Source organism: Homo sapiens, chromosome 4 (assembly GCF_000001405.40).
Source record: "Homo sapiens chromosome 4, GRCh38.p14 Primary Assembly".
NCBI classification, from domain to species: Eukaryota; Metazoa; Chordata; class Mammalia; order Primates; family Hominidae; genus Homo; species Homo sapiens.
The window spans coordinates 53,841,101-53,865,369 of NC_000004.12; positions in this window are offsets into that span (position 1 = coordinate 53,841,101).

Below are 24,269 nucleotides of genomic sequence, written 5' to 3' on the forward strand. Positions count from 1 at the left end.
CCAGAAAATAGCCTATCCAGCTCACCCCACCATGAAGTTCACAGTCAATGACCCCACCGGCCAGAGTTTCCAATCTGTGTTCCAGTGTCCCACTATCAAATATGATCATGCAGTGAAATAGACATAGTAGGGGAACGCCTCAATATAAAAAAATAGAGACAAAGCAAGTTAGAGGAAACACAGACTATGAAAGGAGAAGAAACACTAGGGGTAGGGGGGAACTACTATTATCAGAAAAGAAGAAATTGCAACCATGAAATGGGCAGAAAACTATTAACATAAAGAATATTCAGAGCAAAGAAGAGGTCTTAGAAATTAGAAATAAGATCTCAGAAATTTAAAAAGACTCAAAAGAAAGACACAGAAAGAACAAAATGAAAAAGAGAAGAGACATAGGAGAGAACAGATAAGAAAATACTAGAGGACAAGTCAAAGAGCTTCAACATCTGAATAAAAGGAGTTCTGGAGAAGATGTTTTCATCCACAAAATAATTGAAGAAGATGTCCCAAAACTGAATGAAGTACAGAGTTTCCAGAGTGAAAGGCAATCATTGTGAAATTTCAGATACATGTCTAGAAGACATTGTTAGTACCTTGACCGGGTCCCCTTTACTAAGCCAATGCGTGCAACTGCTCTGCGTGTTGGCTGCTAATAACCTACAGACCTCTTCTCTGGAGAATTGCCTTCAGCAAAGCAGAAGCTGTGTCATCTGGGAGGTTCCAACAACCACTCAACTCCTACACGGGAGAACTCACAACCAATGACTAACTGACTTGAAGGTTCCAAAGGTCAGTCACCTTGTCTCAAAAAGGGTACGAATTCTGTGGTTCAACTCTTGCTCCAGGGCATTCCACTGGATCAGATGGAAGCTCCAGTGGAGACCGCATCCTTAGCTCATTCCCTAGACCCAGGGTGCTTCCTTAGCTTATCTTCTCTCCCAAGATTAATGCCTCAATTAATCACATGCACTCAAATTTCTGTCTCAGATTATTTCTAGAAAACCCAACCTAAGGCAATAGGAGAGAAAAGATTCTAAAAGTTTCCAAACAGAAAAAAAGATGTTATACAAAGGATCAAGAATCAGAATGGCATCAGCCTTCTCAACACTGGAAGCTAGAAGGCATGGGAGCAATTCCTTAAAAATTCTGAAGAAAAATAAATTTCAACGTAGGATTCTATGTTGAATATCTGAGATAAATGGAATCCCCTTTGGGTAAATCAAAGACATTTTCAGAATCCAAATTCTCAAAAAACTTACCTCCTATGTACTTCCTTCTCAAAGGTACTTCATCAAAACAAAGGAATAAACCAAGAAAGAGGCAGATATAGATCAACTGAAAAAGCATGCGATTCATAAATTTGGAAAGGAGAGCTGTATTTCTCCTAAAGGGTTGCAGCCTAGAGGCTGGCCATCCCGCAGGCTGGGAAGCATAGCCTCTGGAAGAAGCTTCTCCAAGAACAAGCACTTGGAGGAAAGGAAGGAAGGATGAGACAGGAATGTATGCTGAATGGGTTGGCTAAGTATACATATTCAACAGGTTATAGGAAGAGCTTTGAACATTTATGAAGGGGAGGCACACACATGCATAGAAGAATAGCATGTATGTAACATGCATCCCATGTTCAACTGGGGGTGGAGGCTTAATATTTAAATGTATTACAATGAAGCCATATACATCAAAAGGTGAAGCAGAGGGTGCAAAGGCCTTCATTGTGCAGCCCTCCATAGACTGGCCAGAACCATTCCATGGTCGGTGGTCTCTTATTAGGAAGGAATGCTGGTCACTTGCTGTGTCGAAACCACAAAAGGGAGGGGCAGCATCAGGTGGTTGGTTAAAATCAGTGGTGATTTCTCTTCAGTCCTTAGGGAAGAAAGCCTAATGGCCGTTAGTGAAGGAGGAGGTATAATGAGGTATGTACCACTTCCCATCCTGTCATGGCTGAGAATTCAGTTTTTAAAGGTTTCTCTGGAGTCCTCTTGGCCAAGAGGGGGAGTTCATTCAGTTGGTTGGGGGACTTAGGATTTTATTTTTATTTCTCACATAGAATGCATGAAATAAAAGATCTAAGAGAAGGGAAACGTGACACCTCTTCAAGCATAAGCAATTAATAGAATTATCTCATGTATGTAAAAGTACTGAGAGTTACACAAGTTGGGGAGACCTTAGAAATATAGTAGACATAGTTGCATAGAAAACTGGGCAAATGGGCTGGGTGCAGTGGCTCATGCCTGTAATCCCAGCAATTTGGGAGGCTGAGGCAGGTGGATCACTTGAGGCCAGGAGTTCGAGACCAGCCTGGCCACATAGAGAAACCCCGTCTCTACTAAAAATACAAAAATTAGACAGATGTGGCAGCATGCACCTGTAATCTCAGCTACTCAGAAGACTGAAGCAGGAGAATCACTTGAACCCAAGAAGTAGAGATTGCAGTGAGCTGAGATCACACCACTGCCTGGGCGACAGAGAGAGACTGTTTCAAAAAAAAAAAAAAGAAAAAAAAGAGAATTATTTATTAAATTCAAGGAAAACAAAACTTTGCTAGGAAAGTAATATACACGACTCAGCTACAGAGTTTACAGAGACATTATTATATAAGGACTACTTATCAATCAAATTACAATTATAATATATTGAGAAAAGGGGGTCAGAAATGTCTGTGTGTGGCTGAATTGAGTGGAGGTGGGAAAGAGGGATAAATGCTCATTTCCCATGGTTGGAATGGTTGGAAATCAATAGACAATGCTTAAAACTGAAAATTCCTGAGTTTCAGTAGAAGCATATGATTTAAGAATTTGGAGATAAAGACCAAAAGAAAGGGCCAGCAGATTTGAAAGCAAGAGTCATTTGGGAGTGATGAGCAGATGCAGAGAGGCTGCTGTGTTTTTCTAAATGTCTTATAGATGTATTTGATTCTTTAAATCATGTGCAGTATAATCCTGATTTAAAAAAAAAAACAAATAAAACGTTAAAATGCCTCCAGGAGCAGAGGATACTGACTCTGTTTTTGGACAAAATGCTGTGAGGAAGTGATTTTGATCAGGTCCTGGTTTAGAGTTCAGGGTGGGGAAAATTTTTTCTCAAGGGACCTAAGCTGCTGAGAGGAAAAAGCTGACTGTAGATCCCAGAGGTGGAAGTTGAGTGCCAAAGCACAATGAGCATAAAAGCACTCTGACCCCAAGGTCAGAGCGGACCCTGCTGCTGGTTGGGAGAAGAGTGACAGGAGGCCAGCGTTTTATGGGCTTCACAACTTGTGAACTCAAGTGTGGTCACACATTCCAAGTCTAGACATCTTTTAGTTCAAATTATCCACCCCATAAAGTGAAGCAATCATAGCAAAGATTTAAAGATGCATATATTCCCACATATTCCTAAATCTGTTATCATACTTCTTATGGAAGCTGACAGCCATAGATTACTCGGTTCAGACATCAGAAGCTGATATAAACCGGCAACTGAGTGCCTTAAAAGTGTTCTACCCCAAGTAGAAGGAAGTGTTTCAGCATGCAGGAGCAGTACCAACAAAAAACAATGGAATCAACAGTTTGTCTTGCTTTGCACACAAAGAGCAAATGAGCTCTAGTCAGAGAGCTTAAATGTGACCTCTCCAGCTAGGGCAGCTCATCAAAATTGATGGCCAGTGGATTCCACAGCCAGCATTAAATTACCAACCAACATCTAAGAGGTCCAAACTCCTCTCTCCCTTCAAATAACCCTAACAGCCTCCCTCGAAACTTTCTAACCTCTTGTACCCACCCACATTTAAGTGAGGCCACCTCCCCGATGGCAGCCCTGTCTCACTTCTCACTGCACTAATCTAACAGGAGATCAAGGATGTCAAATATCTCCCATTTCTTTTCGCCCCTGGTTACTTTGGAAGCATCCCTCTTAAACACCTCTCCCAGTCAGGCTAGTCCTGGGCAAAGGAAAGCTGTCAGACTTCATAAGAAGGCAATCTGCCCTTCACTTTGCCAATCGCTAAATGGGATCAAGAACGGCTCTTGGGCATTGGATCCAAGGTTACAAGGGAGATGTCAACCATAATAGTGGGGTTAAAAGCAAGCCTTAGACCCACCCATGAAGCCCCTCTTTGGGAAAATAACTGAGTCTTGCAACCATATAAGGGTTAGTCCCAATAAGCCCCTTTTCTCCAATGCCCTTAGACTAATTAGTGATAACAATACATCACACGGTTGAGAAAATGAGAGGGAAATGAATGTTTCTAGACCTGTACGGAAGCGATTTGAGAGTTGTTAGGGAAACCACCTCCCTTATTAAAACAAAATGCAGAACCTCCAAGGTTTAGCAATAGAAGCAAAAGCCACAGGAGTTGAAGCTGAAATAATCTAGTGGCCACCACTTAGTGCCACTAAGTACAGTATCAAGGTTAGAATTCATGTTCTAGGATCTGGCTGATTTAGATTCAAATCCTAACTCCTTTACTTCAGAGCTGTGTAGGGTTATTAAAGAAAGTATCTAAGTCCCCTGAGCCCCAATTCCTCATTAGTAAAATAGGTTAATAATGTATTCTTTAGGGTGCGACAGCAGGAGGCCTGAAGCTAGTGTATTGAAGTGTAGACACATGCAGGGTGTAACAAGTGCTCATTGAATGTCAGCTGCTGTTGTTAGGATGGGATTATCTTCTCCCTAGGGTTTGATCACTATTACAGATGCCATCTCCACCTTGATTCCCAGAAGGGTAATGCTCCCTCCTTTAATGATTTACAGTGTTTTTTTTTCCTGTGCACCTATATCTATATACAGAAATATATTTACAAAGTTACAATCTTACTAATAAGTGACAGAGCCAGCATTTGACCCTGTGTTTGTCTGACTCCTGAGCTGCAATGAAGAAGACTCGAATGAGTCCCCAAACCACAGGGATGCTATGCTTAGGATAGAATCTTGGTGACAGACCAAGACACTGATTAAGAGGCACAATTGGTGTGCCATTTTTCTCTCATTCATTTTCTTGCTTCCTCTTTCTCTCTACAAGCAATTGGGTGGATGAGTTGAGGTAGAGCCCACTCTACTTCCTTTAAGGTCCTTACTCCACCGGTCTAGATAGAGGGTAGAAGGATTCGGAGTGGCTGAAGATGTAAGCTGAGAAAGTGAGTTTTCCACTGTCACTTATTGATCAACCGTGGTTATGATCAGGCAAAGTCTACTGATGGCAGATTTGTCCTGGCTATTTCTGATGTCCTATCAGCTACTATATAGGCTGATGTGCAATCAGTCCAGTTAACACAGAATTTTTGATAAGGCCTAAAATTCCAAATCAACATTCCAGCCCTCCTGATTGTGCCATAAATTCTGGGACTCTGGTTCTAGTAACAACTGAGGCAAACAGAAATATTTATCCTGAATTGTCCTTCTACCTGAAGTACCTGTCTGACCTTTAATTTGTCTAAAAGCTACTCAAGAGCAGAAACTGCATCCTCTACTTATTTCATCTCTTTAAAGCCTGGGACACAGTGTTGAATAATGTCTTTTGCATAGACTTCCTTTATTGACCTTTATAGATTTCTGTAATAGGGCAATATGTGCAAATATTATTAGAATTATAAAGTATTACATAGGTAAAGACAAAGGATGTTACCCAGTGAATAAAACCAATTCCAGATGATCAGAAATTCAATATAAAAAATTCAAACCACCTATCAATGAAGAAAATGTAGTATTTATCAAACCTCTAAAATAGAGATAATTTTCTAAGCATAGAAGTAATAAAATAAATAATGAAGGAAGAGATTGACTGGTTTCAGTACATTTTAAAATTTAAAGCTTAAGTAAAAAACAATCTTAAAGACTAGAATAAGTAAGTCTTGAAAATATGTTTGAAAAAGAGTTCAAATTTTTATTCAATAAGGAGCTCATAAAAATTTTAAAAAAACAAAAATCTTCATCTCCCAGTAAAGAAAATTACATGGACAAAAATTCCAAAAGAAGATGAGTATTCTCATAAAAACCTGTTTGCAAATATTTATAGCCACTTTATGCATAATCACTAAAACTGGGAGACAAATGTCCCAGCTGTCTGCCAACTGGTGAATGGATAAACAAATTGTGGCACATTCAGACAATCAAGTACCCCTCAGCTAGAAAAGGAACAGACTACTGATACATGCAACAACGTGGCTGATCTCAAAATCATTATGCTAAATAACAGAAGCCAGACACAAAATCATACGAACTGTATGGTTCTATTTGTATGACATTCTGGAAAAAGTAGGAGTAAAAATCATGAGAAAACAGATTAGAGGTTGCCAGGGGTGGGGGATTGACTGCAAAGAGGCCTAAGAGAACTTAGAGAGTGATGGAAATATTTTATATCTTGACTGAGGTGGTAGTTATATGATTATAAATACTTGCCAAAATCATATGCCTAAAAATGATTAATTTTACCGTGCATAGATTGTATTGTAATAAACCTGGCTTCAAAATAAGATTATTAAAAAGTGTTTCACATTATTAGTAATCAAATGAAAATTAATATGAGGGGGTCATTTTTTAATCCATTAAATTTAAAAATATAATTTATAATATCCAATTCTAGCAAGGCTTCAATGAATCTTGTATTTTCATATAGTAATGTTGGTGATGTGAATTAGAATGACTCTTTTGGAAATCATTGTTGAAATATGTAGCAAGATCATAAAAATGTGTACCCCTTGACCCAGCAATACCAATGATGGGAATCTATATCAAGGAAATTTTACAAAATGGCTTGAAAATAATCATATTTATGGAATTATGTGTTATAGATTGTTAATAATTTTAATCAACTAGAGGAACTCAGTTTCCAGTAGTGGGGGAAGGGTTAAATTATCATGGAAAATTATATGAAAACATTTTGCAACAATTAAAATGGTCATGATAAAGTCCATATAGTCACATACACATTTGGAAGTATGTATATAATATAATGTTACTGAAGAAAGCCAACAGGGATTAGCCAACATGCATTCTGGAAAGGCAGTAAGTATGGTGGTGAAGAGCATAGCTTCCAGAGCTGAACTGCCTGGGTTAATATTCAACCCCTGCAACCTTCTAGCTCTGACTTTGGGCAGCTTACTTAACCTCTCTCACACTCACTTTCTTATTTGAAAATAGAAAACAAAATAGTAGCTTCCTCATTGCTTTTTTCCAAGGGTTTGATGAGTTCATAAATCACATAAAACACAAAACTACTTGGCACAAAGTAAGCACTGTATGTAATCATGTGCTATGCTGTTTTATCTCTGAAGATGTAAAAGGACTGGACAAACAGTATTATTTTGGTGTATGTGGCTGTGGAATTATTACATTCAGATGATTAAGATTGCTGGCAATTTCGGCCACTTTTTCAATTTTTGCATTTTGAAAAAGTCAATTTGATTTTTAAAGACTTGCATAGATCCCACCACAGTTTTACTTTCAGATTTCATTGAATGAACATTTTCTTAATCCTTTTTTTTCCCCTTTCGCTTGCTTGCTAGTGGATTTTCAAGTGATGGTGTGACAAAAGGGCCAAAGGGCTGTGTACACCAATGATTCCTGTAAATCCCATTGAAAGAGACACTCTGGATGACAGGAAACACTGCGTAATGACTGAAGTATCAATGAATGATTGATGCTATAATTAGTATTAATATTAATTATAGATTTTTTTATATTAAATAATCAAAAGGGCCTCAATTTCTGATAGCAGGGGAACAGTGAATTATATTATAAAATAGTTACTTAAGGGATAATTATCAAAAATTAAAATTATGATTATAAAGATTACATGGTCATACGTATGTATGGAAATGTGTAGAATACAGTGTTAGTGAAGAAAGCTAACTATTTCTGTGTCTTGAACCATGGCTTAAGATGCATGGGTGAGGAGTGAATTCCTTTATTGAAGATAGGGAGAGTCTGTCCCAAAGCAGTCAAAGCATGGCTCTGCCTTCTCTCTTGAGAGCTGGCTTCGAGAATGAGCTATGTGCTGGGTAGGACATAAGTGGAGCCCTTTCTCACGGGGAAGGTTGGCCACTACTGTGGCGCCTTCTTGTGTGTTCCCTCCAGCACTGCTAGACAAGCCCGTCCTCGAAACAAATCTGGGGAAATTTATGCTGACACTTGGTTCCACATCTGGAAATGCTGAGGGTCAGTTATGATTCTTAGCATTGTGTTCATTCTCTTCTTAAGCAAAACTTCAACTTACCTTGCAGGCCAGTGCTCTTTTTTCCAGACACCCAAGGCATTCCAGCAATCTCCTTTCCCAAAACTCAATGGGTTTAAATGTTCAGGCCAGAAGACCTGCAATTTCCAGTGTTTTCCATTGCAGAACTTTAGACCTGGATCTGCTACCTGTTAGGTTCTGGCCTTAAGGAGATGTATTTTAAATAGTACTCCCTGGATGAATGATACCATTTACATTTTTTTCTTCAAAGAACTTCATGTGTCTTTTAGGAACTGATTAAACTTGGCAATTAAGATCCCATGCCTTAGGCCTTTCTGACGGGAAAATGTTAAAAAGAAACAAATGAAAATTTTTATCAAGTTAGAAAACCAATGAAAAATAAAAGTGAATTAAAGGAAGTTTTTCTTGTTTTATTTTACATAAAAGAAAATGGGCCAGGAATGGTGGCTCACCCCTGTAATCCCAGCACTTTAGGAGGCTGAGGTGAGAGTATCACTTGTGCCCAGGAGTTGGAGACCACCCTGGGCTACATGGTGAAACCCCAGCTCTACCAAAAATACAAAAACTAGCCAGTCTCATAACCCAGTCTCAAAAAAAGATAAAGAAAATGATCAGCTAAAGGAAATGGAAGAATCATCTACTTCACAATTAAGAGAGTTTTATCTTTATTTTTCCTATCTTTTGCTTCATGGTTTGTATAATTCATCTTTCAGTGGAGGGAAAAAATTGTTTATGTGTACTTTGACCTAGTTAGAGAAAAGGGGGGAGAGCAATTAAACATCAAGAAGTACTTTGTTCATCAATAAACTGCTATTCAAAAGGGCTGCACTAGCTCTCCACCCCCACCTCTTGTTTTCAATGTCATAATTATTTATAGGGCCAGTTGGAGTCTCAACTCTGCTAAAACAATTTATTCGAGGGCCTCAGCCCTTATCCCAAGCACAACACTGCCCCATTAGGCTTCTGGGCAAATGTTTGTTCATATGGGTCCTAACTCAGCTGTCAGTTATGTGAGAGAGAGTGTGTGTGTGTGTGTGTGTGTGTGTGTGAGAGAGAGAGAGAGAGAAAGAGAGAGACAGAGAGAGAGAAAGAGAGAGAAAGAGAGAGCGAGAGCACGCACACACGTGAGAGAGAGGTGGCGAGGGTTACTCTTAATCTGGGTTTTTCTGGAACATCTGAGCACATATTGTGGCTGAGCACTATGAATGATACAGTAACACAAGGTGAGAATCTCTTCCTTTTTCTGTGCCAATAAGTTAGTCCTGACACTGCCAGAGAGACAAATCCTCCACCCACTGTCCACCAAAATGGGAAGGCCGTAGGCATTTGATTTGCCATGGCCAATGAAACAAGACCACCTCTGAGAAGAGCACATGTGTGTTGGGTGGGGTCAAGATATCCTCACTGGATATAGACATCCAGGCCTCATGTTCCTTGACATGGTAGTATTCAGGAAAGCTTTGAAAATCTGTTTTGGCCTAAAGTGCATCTGACACTAGGCAAGTAAACACACTATAAAAACTGAACGCCAGACCCAGCACCCTGGTGTGGTATTTCCTTAGACCTCAAAAGTCTGATCAAAGAAGGAACATATTAGCTTAGTGAAAAAGTAATTGTGGTTTTTACCATTACTTTCAATAGCATAGAGGTTAAAAATATGGACTCTGGAGCCTGACTTCCTGCATGTGGGTCCCTGCCCTGCCACTGATTAGCTGGGTAACCTTAGGTAAGTGACTTAACCTCTCTGTTTATTTTTCTGTAAACAGGAGATGCTAATTGTACTTACCTCATAAGGCTGTTAGGAGGATCCACATTAGCAAAATGTTTAAGCCAGTGCCTGGAAAGTGCTATGTGAGTGTTTGCCGAGTAAAATTAATAGATTTGTGAAACAATTTCATTCCCAGTCCCATCTGTTTTCACCCAGGGATTCTGTTTGATTTAAAAACAGTTATTAAAAGTTTCTTGGCTGGGCACCGTGGCTCACGCCTGTAATCCCAGCACTTTGGTAGAACAAGGTGGGCAGATCACCTGAGGTCAGGAGTTCAAGACCAGCCTGGCCAACAAGGTAAAACCTCATCTCTACTAAAAATACAAAAATCAGCTGCGTGTGGTGGTGGGAGCCTATAATCCCATCTACTTGGGAGGCTGGAGAATCGCTTGAACCCAGGAGGTAGAGGTTGCAGTGAACTGAGATTGCACCATTGCACTCCAGCCTGGGTGATGAGAGCAAAACTCTGTCTCCAAAATAAAAAAGTTTATTGCTTGCCCAAGATCTTTTATTCTTGACTTTCAAATTAAATGTATTTGGGTGAGAACAACTTTGTCATTGGAAGTAGGAGCATTGAAGAGATGAGCATGATGAATCAGGGTTAAAATGTTAATTCCACACTCAATAACTATAGGGACTTGAGAAAGTTTCTTCACTTCTTTGAACTCAACTTATACATCAGTAAATTGGGAATAATGTGAACCTCTCAGGGATATCATGAAGATGAAACTTATGTGTGAAAAGTACTCGGCACTTAATCCAGTGGAAAAAATGGTTATCTTCTTGATAAGTTCCAGGCTGTATCTTTTTGCTTTAACCTCCTTGCATTCAACTCTTACAATCTTCTAAAGCCTGCCTGGCTCACTGATTCATAGTAGATTTCATAGTCTTCTTCTGATACAAACAGTTGAAACTTTATCTTCTTTGGGTTGTTTTGCTATTATACACGTACTGGTGAGATCCAAAGAGTGGGCAAAAATTATATTGACTGCTAAGAATATTTTGAGAACAATACATTTCAGGAAAATCCTCGAGACCTGGGTTGCTCCTCTTTAAGATCAATCAGCAATGCGCCCTAGGGATTCTCTCACATTTCTGCCGTTTGCAAAACTCTATACCATTAGGCAGATGTCACCCAGAGCTGCTTGTCTTTTTTCAACAGAATTTTTTTTGAAAGGTGAGCTTTTTAAAGAGAGTTTTTCTATATTATTTTTTCATTGAAAATTATAATTAAAAATGTGTCAAAATTATCCATGATTTTCAGCTGCCTGACATTTGTCTCACATATGTTTCTTTTTAACACAAATTTTTTTTTCTCCTCAAAGTCAAGTTTAAGACCTCAAATCCTTCTTTAAAAAGTATTTAAAAGATTGAGCAAGTTGCTCTCCATGGGGTTTGCTGACGCAGGGGCTCCTGTGTTTGTTTTTACTAAAGAATGGCTGTTTCCCTGGTCTGGTTACTTTACTCTCTGTATTTTCCTTGGAAAAGTCACCAAACTGACCAACTGTCTCTCCTGGAGAGAAGAATCCTGTAGCTGTTAGTGTGCGAGCCACGATGTGCTTCTGTCACAGATAGACAAGCAAATCGCAAGCCCTGGAAGACCCTGGGCCGTTCCACTCCTCCTGGAATGCACTCTAAGCCTCAGAGACACCAATGTCCTCTCCAAAATGCCTTACTATCTGCCCTGTGTTGCTCCATGAAAAAATTAAGTTTCTGTGCTCAAGCAGGCTAGGAGAATCTTTGAGTTAACTTATGATGCAAATTATGCTTCTTTTCTCAACGTTACAATGCAACATTAACATATGAAAGTTGCCATCAGTTTCTTAGTCAAGAAATTTAACGTTGCCTCATGCTAACTAGAATTGTTTAACCTGGAAGCCCACTTTTCAATGTTATCTATTGCAAGCCTGGGAACTTGGGGTTCTACAGAAGATACCTTGGGAACCTGTGTTATATTAAAGAGTGCTATGACTTGGAAAGTCAGCTGGACTCAAGCTAATGTGCCAAGAATGGTTCAGAGTGACAATTTGTCCATCTTCATCAAAGCTCCTCTCCCTCTCACCAACTCTGGCTTGGAGAATCCTACTCCTTTAAGCCCACACCAGCATGGTTCAAGAGTGGAGATGCAACAATGGAATACCATTCGGCCCTAAAAAAGAAGCCAATCCTGCCATTTGCAGGATGCTATGCTGATGGAAATAAGTCAGTCCCAGAAGGACAAAGACAACATGCTTCCACTTACAGGAGGTAAATAAAATCATCTAATTCATAGAAGCAGATAGTAGAATGGTGGTTGCCAGAGGCTACAGGAGGGGGATATGGGGAAACATTGTTTAGCGATAAAAGTTTCAGTTATGCAAGATGGATACGATCTTCTGCTGAACATGGTGGCTGTAGTCCATAATACTGTATTGTGCACTTAAAAATTTGTTAAGAGGTAGATCTCCATCCCATGTTAAGTATTCTTTTGTTTGTTTGTTTGATTGTTTTGAGACAGAGTCTCACTCTGTTGCCCAGGCGGGAGTGCAGTGGCGCAATCTCAGCTCACTGCAAGCTCCACCTCCCAGGTTCAAGGGAGTCTCCTGTCTCAGCCTCCCGAGTAGCTGGGATTACAAGCGCCTGCCACCACACTCAGCTAATTTTTTTTGCATTTTTATTAGAGACGGGGTTTCACCGTCTTGGCCAGGCTGGTCTTGAACTCCTGACCTCAGGTGTTCCACCTGCCTTGGCCTCTCAAAGTGCTGTGATTACAGGTGTGAGCCACCATGCCCAGCCCCATGTTAAGCATTCTTATGACAAGAACAAAGAGACACAAGGAAACTTTTAGAGGCGGTAGATATGTTCATTACCTTAATTGTGGTGGTGTTTTCATCGCTGTATGCATATGTCCAGGCTCATCAAATTGTATATAGTCAGCCCTCTGTATCTGCAGGTTCCACATCTGTAGATTCAACCAACCTCAATTGGAAAATATTCAGAAAAAAAAACAATGAAAAATAGCCATCCAACAATAAAATAATACACATATTAAAAATACAATTCACATAGCATTTACACTATATTAGGTATTATAAGTGATCTAGAGATGATTTAACATTTATGGGAGGATGTGCATAGGTTATATGTAAACACTTCGCCATTTTACATAAGGGACATGAGCATTATGGATTTTGGTATCCTCAGAGGTCCTGGAACCAATCTCCTGGTGTTTGTTTGTTAAATATCTGCAGTTTGTTGCACATCATTTATGCCTCAATAAAGCTGTTTTTTTCAAAAAAGTGTGAGTATGCCAGTGAGTATGAGTATGTGCACTGTGCCCATTTATGTGGTCACATTCCAAAATCAGATGTATGATTTAGGTTATTTATCACTTTGCAGTACTTACTCCTCATTTTCACCTTGTTTGCACTGATAATTTAGATTGAGTTAGATATCTGGAGAGAATATCTGTAAGAAAATAGAACAAAATTAGTGTTATAGCAGAAGGTGAAAGCAACGCCATCGCAGCACACCAGCCATGAGGATCCATAAGTTCTGCAGCTGTCCTGCTGAAACTGCCACCACCACCAAACTGCCCACTGTGTGAATTTGGTCTGGTTTCCTGACATGTATTTACCTCCTCTTCCTGCACCCCCAATCCCTGCAAAAATAGGACCGATTAAGATCAAGATATATTTTGGCTTGTTCAATAACTTCTATTTATCTTGAAATAAAGTTCAGCCTTTCTAAATGTTCCGCAAATCTCTGCAAGATCTGACCCCTGCCTTCACTCTTTTCCTGCTTCATGTGTTAGAATCTAGGCGTTTGTTATTTTCTCCCAGTTCCTACAATACACCATGCTTTCTGCAATTCCCTCTGCTTGAAGGTCTGTAGCTCATTCCCTTCCCTCACCAAATTCTCCCTGGCCCCCACCACAGCCTTGTGCCTAGCTGATTGCCCCTCATCTTTTATGTCATTGTCTAGACATCATTTCTTCCAAGAAGCCTTTCCTGACCCTTCCACAGAACTGGGTTGGCTGACCCTTCCCTGGCCTCCCTTAGCAACTACACTACCCATTTCATTGCATTCCCAGCCCTCCACTATAACTGAGTCTGCTTATTGACCTGTATTCGCCACGGGACTATAAACTCCACAGGGGCAGAAACTCACTCTGCATTATTTGCCATTATACCCCCAGGGCCTAGCCCAGAACCTCTAACGCAGCAGCTGTACAATAAACACATGTTGAATGAATGAATCAGTCAGTAAGTGGATCAATCTTACCCTTGTTGCAACATATAATAGTATGATTCTATCATCAGAGTCCCAAACCTCAGATTCTCATTTCCCAATTTTTTAGATGAATGGTATAATACAGTCCAACTACACAGTCTTTCTGAAGTTATCTTCCTCAAACACATAGGTGTGTGTAGCTGGGAGGGCTCCCTGTAATTGACAAAAACAAAGTATAGCCTCATGTTTCCTGCCTGCCTGTGTTGAGTCAACCAGCTAGGGCTATGCTTTACTTTACCATAGATTTTATATCTAAATCATACTTCATCAGACGTTATATCTAAATCATCAGATTCAAAACAATTTAACTGGACCTACACTCAGTCTTGCCAGAAAATCTGCTTCCCGTTTTCATGACAAGTCATGCATGCTCTGGGGCTTTCAGAATCTTGCTTCTATTTTTTTAGTCTCATTGCATAATAAAACACAGATACACATAGTCACACACAAGCTCAACGACACAAATACACATAGTCACACACAAGCTCAACGAGACCCATGTTTTTCACTGTTCTTTTACAAACTGAAATGCAATCTTATCCAGCTGCCAAATGCATATTCTAATAAGATGACAAGAAATTATTTCCCTAATTCAATAATGAATCAGTCTGTGTCAGACAGGACTGTTCACCACAACTCCCTTCCTGGTTGGAAAGCAAAGCTTGTAAGCTGGATGGTTTCAGAGAAACAAATTGCTCCTGGCTGCAAAATGCGATGACTGTGTAGTTGACCAAGAAAAACACAAAAACACCCCTAGGAGATGAATTACTTGAAATTAGGAAGGCTGCATTCCTAGAGCCAGATAGCAGAACTATTTCGCCCCCATAAGACATGATGCTGGAGTTAGTCAGGCATTTCCAGGATTCATGCTTTGTGGGGAAACATGTTGACCCCATTGCAGAAAAGTGTTCTGAGAGGGACACGTTGTAAGCATAACCACTGCATACTGAAGGTTTTGAATAGTATTAAGGGAAGGCTTTCTCCAAAAACTCTGCCACCACTTCAATGACTGGAATTATGGAAAGTTTTATGGCAGTGGGAGATGGCTCAGGAATAGGATTGTAAAAGGACTCTCCACCCAAAACTGTAGATTGGCCACTGACCATATGCTTTACCCTTTCAGTTCTCTGGGTTGTCCAAAACCCAGGAAGATAATCTTCCTTTGTTACTGTACTGCAGGTTGCTCAGCTCTCAAAGCTCATTCTTCGCTCTTTGTATTACTATAGGTACGTACCATCAGTTAGAAGGTGTCAAAGAATGTAGGGAATGACTTGTAGGGAGGGCTGGCATATGAATTAGAGTAATAGTAGATGCTAAAACAGGTAAACTCCAAAGTCCCTGTGGCTTAACACAGTGAAAAATGTTAGAGGCTAACCAGCTGGAGATGGGAGCATAGCAGGAGGCCATATCCAGAGACCCAGACTGATGGGGGCTCTGCCTTCAATATATGGCTTCCAAAGTCACCCTGGGCATGGACATCCAGTCAGCCTATGGATGAACATGGAACATGGAAGACTGTATGTGAGCTTTCTATGGACCTGGACTGGAAGTGGTGTAACCCACTTTTACCCACAAAACTCAAGCACTTGGCTCCACACAGCTGCAAGGAAAGCTAGGCAAGTGGTCTGGCTTTGGGTCCAGGAGGTAGAGGAAACAGGTTTTTGGTGAACATATACCATTCTTGGCCACTGTTCAACACTTTAGTCACCAAATATCTATTTCACATGTTCTCCCACATCAACAACAAACTTTCCCCTTCCCCAAGAGAGATAACCCAAAGTCCCACCCAATCACTTCAAAGGACAGCACCTTGAAGGGGTACTAACTCCTTTCTGTCTATCATATCCAGATGCAGCTCCTTGTGATCCAGTCACCTTTGAACTAAATATCACATACACACACACACACACACACACACACACACACACACACACACACTATACAGTGGGAAACAGAATAACCACAATGAATACTCCCATTCACAGATAGGAAGGATGGCGAATACTCAGCAGTCACTGGGATATAAGCAATGACAGAATCTTGGTGGGCAAGTATTAGAAAAACTTCTACTCTGACGCTAGGAGAGCTTTCTTGATTAGACCCTGGTTCTGCTCTCTGAGAAGAACATTAGACAGAGGTCTACTTTTCTCCATGACCCATGGCTCTACCCTCTGGGACATTCCTGCTTGTTCCTCATGACCTCCTTGGCTACATTTGAAGTGGATGTTGGAAAGTATGCCATCTTTAGAGGTCAAAACTTGTTCCCGTGGGTTCAAATTTGGGGTCCCAAATGTTATTTTAAGTCTTAATTGAGAAAATGATTTTTTAGTCCAGGTTTATATTTCTTTGTTCATATTTCTTTGGCAATAAAATTTCCTCAAAACATAGTATGTTTCCTATGTATCTGTTTCCAATTACCTGCCTATGTCAGTTCTTAAAAATAATTCTCAAGTCGGATACAGTTCTTTGCTTCTTTGGCCTTATTTGACTCTCTCTCAATTTAATGTCAACCAGCTTGAGGCCATGCAGCTTGGATAGAAAAGCCATATACCTAATCTGATCTTTGCTATAAATCTGAATCTCAGTGAGCCATTATTGCTTTAAAAGTTTCTCAATATTAGTTCCTACTGTTTGAGGCCTAGAAGCAGATGAGTTTTTAAATCTTTCAATACCCAAATATCTGGACTCCATAGATTCATTTTTATTTATGATTTCAAATCAGCAAATCTTTGTCTGAACTAATCCCTTTCTTTGATAAGGAAAGGGATTACTTTGATATTTGATAAATGCATCCAGTCACAACAAACACACACTGTTAACATTCTACTTTCCAATCTTTGTTCTTAAAGTAATGTTGATAGGTACTTGGTCTTCCTGCCAAATGAGCTCAAGTACAGTTTTAATAAATGCTTTGCCACTACAGGTCATGGATCTTAGACTATCTTTCCAACCTCCAATAACACTACCTACCACCTGACTACTAAAAATGTTACTTAATTTAATCGGAATATTTACTCCATTGATATTTAGTGTAGTTAATGATATACTAGGGTTTTATTTACATCTTACTATTTATTATAGGTGACTCATTTATTCCTTTTTATCTCTTTTCTTGCCTTCTTTGATTAATCAACTCTGTGATTATTCTACTTTTTTCTTAATTTAATAGTTAAACACACTTAGTTATTCATTTAGTGGTCACTTAGACATGAAAAATGTGTCCTTCACTTATTACGCTGTAGTACAAATTACTATTTTTACCAATTCCTACATAATGTGAAAGCTTTAGAAAACTTTAACTCCAGTTATACCATTTCCAACTTATGTATTAATGTTGCCCTGAATATTCTATCCATATATTATACAATTAATATTTAATCAGTATTTGTTTATATGTATCAGCATACAGATAGCAATATTTCTGTTGCTCTTTAATTTCTTCTTACAATTCTGGGTTCTCCCTGGGATCACTTTCCTTCTCTCTCAAGAATTCATTTTAGAATTTCTCTTATTGAGGGCTTGCTGGCAACTAAATCTCTTATTTTTGTTCATCTGAAAATGTCTCTTTTCCCTTGATTTTTGAAGGCAATTTTCTTGGGTTATGGAATTGTGGATTAATGTCTTTCAGCGTTTCAAAAATGTCATTTCCTTGTTTTGAAGTTAGTTGTCAGACTTGTTTTTGCTTCTTTGAAAGTAATGTGTTTTTCTCTAGCTGTTTTTGAGACTTTTCTCTTTGCCCTTAATTTTTAGCAGTCTTACTATGATATATCTAGATGTGACTTTTTATTTATTTATTTAGAGGCAGGGTCTTGCTCTGTTGCCTAGGCTGGAGTGCAGAGGTGCAGTCATGGCTCACTACATCCTTGACATCCTGGGCACAAGTGATCCTCCCGGAAGCTCAGACTCCCAAGTAGCTGGGACTATAGGCATGTGCCACCATGTCTGGCTATCTGTTAAATTATTATTATTTTGTAGAGATGGGGTCTCTCTATGTTTCCCAGGCTGGTCTCAAACTCCTGGGCTTAATCAATCCTCCTGCCTCAGCCTCCCAAAGTGCTGGGATTACAGACATGAGCCAACATGCCCAGCCTAGATATGACTTTCTTTGCATTTATTCTGTTTGGGATTTGCAAAACTTCTTAAATCTGTGGGTAAATATCTTTCATCAGTTTTGAAAAATTCTCAATTACTATCTCTTCAAATACTGTTTTGTTCTATTCTCTCTCTGACCCACTATTTCTCTCTGCTCTCCTACTGCTACTCCAGCCACACATATGCCCCACATATTTCAATGATCTTTCTTGTAGTCTCATTCTTTTTTTCTCTGTGTGCTTCAGTTTGGTTATTTTTCAGTTGACCTATCTTGTGTTTCACAAATCCCATCTTCTGCTGTGTTTATCTGCTGTTAAATACATCTAATGAGCTCTTAATTTCAGGTATTGTGCTATTCTTCTAGAATTTGATTTTATTAGATTGTTTCTTGTAGATGCCAATTCTCTGTGAAATTCTATTTTATCATCTGTTTTTCCTACCTTTTCCTCTATTTTTATAAATATAGGTGTCATAGTTATTTTTAAGTTCTTATCAGGTAATTCCATTATGGATCTGTTTTGATGGTCTGGTTTTTTTTTATTCTTATCATCCTGTCTTTTGACATAACCAGCAATTTTTTTAGTCCAATGAAGGACACTGAATATAAAAGGTATAGAGACTCCAGATGATGCTATCATCTTTCAAAGAGCATGTATTCTACCTTCCATTAGACCAATAGATGCTGTTATATCAAAGTTCTGTTGCAGCTCCCACAGCTTTAATACACCTCTTATTTGCCCCTGAACTTTAAGGTTTTTAACTGAGAACCTAATACATTTTACCCAGCCCTCCTCCAGGCAGATCTTGAGCCAAAATTCTGCTCTGATTTTCAAAGGCTGTCCGCTAATATCTGTGATCTCCCATTTAGTACAGACCTCCAATTATGCAAAAATCCTCAAGGGATAGGAAGTCTTGTGCTTGAGGCCTTCAATTCTCTTCTGAAACATGCAGCTCTTGCTCTTCTGAAAGGTACAAACCTGAGATTTTTAAGCTTTCAGCCAGAGCCCAAATATGGCAAATACTCCTAGGATTATATTGGATGTCGAAGTCAGTTCAATTCTCTGAGGTCACTCCTCTCTGAAGTCTTATCCCTAAAGTTGTTAAAGCTGATGAGCTTGTCTCATCAGCTCTCCAGACCTCTGAATCTCCCAGGGAAGATCTTTCTGTGTGTATGAGATTTATGTTTAAAATCAATTTATTTATTTTAATTGACAAATAAAAATTGTATATATTTGTCATGTACAACGTGATGTTTCAAAATATGTATACATGGTAGAATGCCTAAATCAAGCTATTTATCATATCATATTCATTGGCTTACATACTTACCATTTTTTGTGGTAAGAATACTTAAAATCCACTCTCTTAGCAATTCTCACTAATACATGTTGTTAACTATAGTCACATGTACAATAGATCTCTTAAATTTTTCCTCCTATGTAACTGAAATTTTGTAACCTTGATAAATATCTCTCCAACTCCAAATCCCTTCCAGCCCCTGGTAACCACTATTTCACTTTATACTTCTGTGAGTTTGATTTTTTAGATGTCACATATGAGTGAGATCGTGTGGTATTTGTCTTTCTGTGCCTGGCTTATTTCACTTAACATAATGTCCTCAAGATTCATTGATTTTGTCACAAGTGACAGAATTTCTTTCTTAAGGCAGAATAGTATTCCACTGTGCATATATACCACATTTTTTGTCCACTCATCCATTTATAGACACTTAGGTTGATCCCACATTTTGGCTATTGTGCATAATGCTGCAATGAACTTGGGAGTGCTCTTAGACATACTGATTTTCTTTCCTTTGGATATATAGCCAGTAGTAGAATTTCTGGATCTGGGAGATCTGGATTAAACTTCAGGTTCTCAGGCCATGTACTCAGGCCATCTCAGGGGATTTTGAGAATGCGGGGCTTGTGGGACAGAGTCTAGAAATCTTCCCAGATGATTTGATGCAGCTAGACCAGGGATTATGTGCTGAGAATACTGGCCCACATCCTTGGCCCTTGTGGTACCATCTCTCTCAGGATCCCCATGTACAGAATTTACTTTATACATGGTGTAATTAATTATGTAAATACAGGTGCTAATCTGTCTGCCAGAGCACCTTCTGACACTGCCCCCAGGACTCCTCTCCAGGAGGGGTCTGACACCATGTACCAGCTACTGCTCCAGATATCAGGGCCTTGAACCACCCAACACAGCATGTTACTACATCCTTACTTATACAGTTGCCATCCCACTGCCATTCCAGCCAGAAATCTCAGATGATGCCTGCTGCATCACACAAGCTCATGAATCCTCCCTCCTTAGATTGGATGGAATGTCATTTCTTAACGTGGCTTTTCTTCTCAGACCCATGGTGGAAAGAAATGTTTGAGTGAGGTGCCAATGGGGTTCATCCATGAATTATCAACTATTTCTTAACACACAATTTTATCTGTGGCATAGAACAGAACTTTAGTGTTAGAGTATTTTTTCTGTGTCTCTCTATGAGTGTCCCTGGAAAATATAGGTTAACCATCTGCAAAAACTTGAGCCTTGTGGGTTGGTAAGAATTGAACCCACCACCAAACTTCTTGATGAGTAAGATTTTTTTTAAATGCCTATATCTGTCTGTTATTTGCAGCCAAAAGCATTCTAACTCATGCAAATTTTGGCACACCACAGCATTATAAACAGCAACATCCTGGAGGCATATACTCAGAAGCACAGAGCTCTCTCTAATCAGGGAATAATGTGGGGAAAGTAATTAACGGCTGGTGATCTTCTTAGTGTGAACCTGATTCCAATGAAACCAACCTATCCCTTATATCTAAGTTTTGTCCTGTAGACATGATGACTTGTAACTCTACATCAAGTTGTACCAGGCATCGTTGCCTCTGGATTTTCATGCCTGGGAGGAACTATAAGAGGAATTACAAAATAAGAAAGGCAAACAGTGCGTCTGCTAAAAGGCAAGGGCTTGAGGCCACCTGTGTCTCGTTATGGGTCATGACTCATTAGACCAACTGCTGTTCTCACTTGCCTCATTTTTTCCACAAGAGAATAGAGAAATAGCATCCAGGGAGCTGCTGGAGAAAATTTTCACATGGTCTCTTCCTAGGAGAGCTCTTTCTTCCCTGGTATATTTTTATTCTTAGCTAGATGCATCTCTAGCTAGCCCAGTACTAATTTACCCTGAAGTGATAAGGTACTCAGTGCCTCCTAAATTCTCACCATAGAAGGTAAGAAATTTGAAATCAGTGTTCTCAAAGAAATCCTTCAAACTCCAGAATCCATGCTTTGGAATATTGTTGGACCTCAGATGAGTCTTCATAGACAAAGGAAGGCAGAACTTTTTCTAACATGTCAATTTGAACAATTTAGCTTCAAAACCAACAAGAGACCACCAAATTGCTATTACTTAGTGCGAGGCCTAAATTCATGTGTGCAATAAGAATAATTGCTACCATTTACTGAACACTTTTTATGTATGAGGCACTGTGCTAACTAAGCATTTTACTTAGGGATATCTCTTGTAAACATCACAACAATCCTTTTAGGTTGGTTTTGGTATCCCCATTTGACTAATGAAAACTCATTTTCCTGATTCAAAGAATTGGAATAGCTCAGCAAAACATGCATGAAGCAGAACAGGAATAAATAAAACAAGAGCTCAATGACAGTGATAAATTGCAACAGACACACAGTATCATTTGGGGGAGACAACAGACACAGGCCTTGTCTCAGGTAAGGGTAGCGACCCCTCTTCAGTTTCAGCTTCTTTTACTGTGAGGGAACACAAGCTCAGTGAGTCCAGATCTTCAGTTTTTCAAGAGAAAGCAGAAATCCAAAATTGTATGTGAAATTAAAATCTTATTGTTAAACTTTGGCAACTATTAAAAAGATTTTCAGCTGTCTGCAGCCAAACAAAATACAGCTGTGGACCGGATTCAGCTTGGAGGCTGCCTGCTTGCAAACTCTGTCCTCTGTCCTGCGCAATTGGGAATCACTCGGGGTTCTTTTGTTCTCTTAAAGAAACATGGCTCCTTCAACCAGAGGCCAGAGTGCTTTCAAATATCACTAATGGTTCAATAGTGTGGCTTAACCATTACCCACCCACCATCCCTTAGGAATACAGATATCTATGACTCCTGGTGACATTCATGCATAATTTGTAAATACATTATCCTGTGAGACTTGAGGGATCCAAGCAGTACTTGAGGGGGTACACAAGAAAGAAGAAGATATGAGAGAGAAAAGGAAAAATGAGAAAGATGATAGGGGCACCCTGCTGAGGACTGCCACCTCCTAACAGTCTCTGGCCCCTGCCTGTTTTCACCATTCAGACCCCTGAAGCCCAGTGTTCAGAGCCTGGGCCCACCATCCTTCATTTCTGATTTCTCTCCTCCAAGGAGATAAGGACGAGCCAGGGCCTCTCGGTGTGTTTTACATCAAAGGCCACTGAAGGGTCTTGACAGGCTGGATGTCAGTGCTGTAAATAAACCATTAATCACTCTGCCATTTCATGGACACACTCTTCCCAGAGGGCATGAACTTTCTCCAGGGCACTAATATAAACCACATCTTTCCTGAGCCAATGGGGGAGGCAGAGTGGGGCGTCAGAGCTCAGAGAGCAGGCTCCCTCATTGACACAACCATTACTCTCCTCTTAAAACCACAGGTCCCTGTAGCTTGGAAATGGTTAATGAAAAGAGATACAGTTGAAACGGATTCAACAAATGAAGTCACAGCTTTGGGGAATGTGTACACCCCAAGGCAGCTCCTTCTATCCCTTCTAAACTCTCCACCTCTAAAGAAGGTACCAAGAGAAAGGCCACAGAGACACAACAAGATATTAATGATTTCACCACTGACCCAAAGCAACACTCCTTTGGCAGTTCTCTATAGTCTGATTTCTAAGAATTAGAGCCCAGAAAAAAAAAGGTATAAAATGCTTTTCCAGAATAGTTCCCCTCTATGTGTGGAAGTTGGAGTCACTGGACCAATGGTCCTAACTTGGCCAAGGCTCCCTACCGTAGGCCCCATCTTTAGTACAGATGCTCCTTGAGCTTCTGCTATGGGGAGACACTGCTTGAGGTTCAGTAAAAAGACAGATGAGGCCTTTGCTTTCATGGCCTCTTCATTCCTGTTGGGGCAGGCAGCTGCTGAACAAACTGGATCAATTTAGATAGTGATAAACCTATAGAGAACACAAAACCAGAAGGCAGTATCAACGGTGATAGGGGAATGGCTACTTAAGTTTGAGTAGGAAGATGAAGGCATTCATTCACTCAGCAACTAAACATGGTAGCAGACACTAGGGGGTTACCCAAGAGGTAGGAGTGATGTCAATGTTTGAAGGACCTTATTTTTAGCTGGAGAGATGAGATGAGCATGCAACAGTCCTCAAGAAATTATACATATGCAAAACCTCCATGTAAACCTATAAGATTGAAGGCTGACATTCAAGAAACAAGGAAGGGATCTGGATCAGGACAAGTTAAAGACAGGACATGCTTCTCAAAGATAAGTCTGAGCCATTAGGAATACAAATTGTGGATCTAGGTTGTGTCAGGGGAGAGAGCCTTCAGGCCTTCTCACTGAGTCACCGGGAACTAGAATTAGGATTTGAAGTCCAGCGCTGAGGTCCCCACACTGAATCGACAGGCAGGGAAAATAACGAGGCACCATTCTGAGGTCCAATTTGGAAGGAAGGGCAGAAAGAGAAATAATACTGCACTTCACATAAATTCCAGATGCCTTCCCCTGGCTTCCCAAGCATTGCCTTCCTCCCTACCATGGTCTTTCACCCCTCCCTCTTGCTGCGGCCACACTGGCCTTCTCACCAACACTCACCCGGGCTCACACTTGTGCATGGGGACTTTGCATTTGCAAATTCCTCTGCTCAGGAAGTGCCTCTTTTACATCTTTGCAAGTCTGATTCCTTCTTATATGTTAGGTCTTGGCTCAGCTATA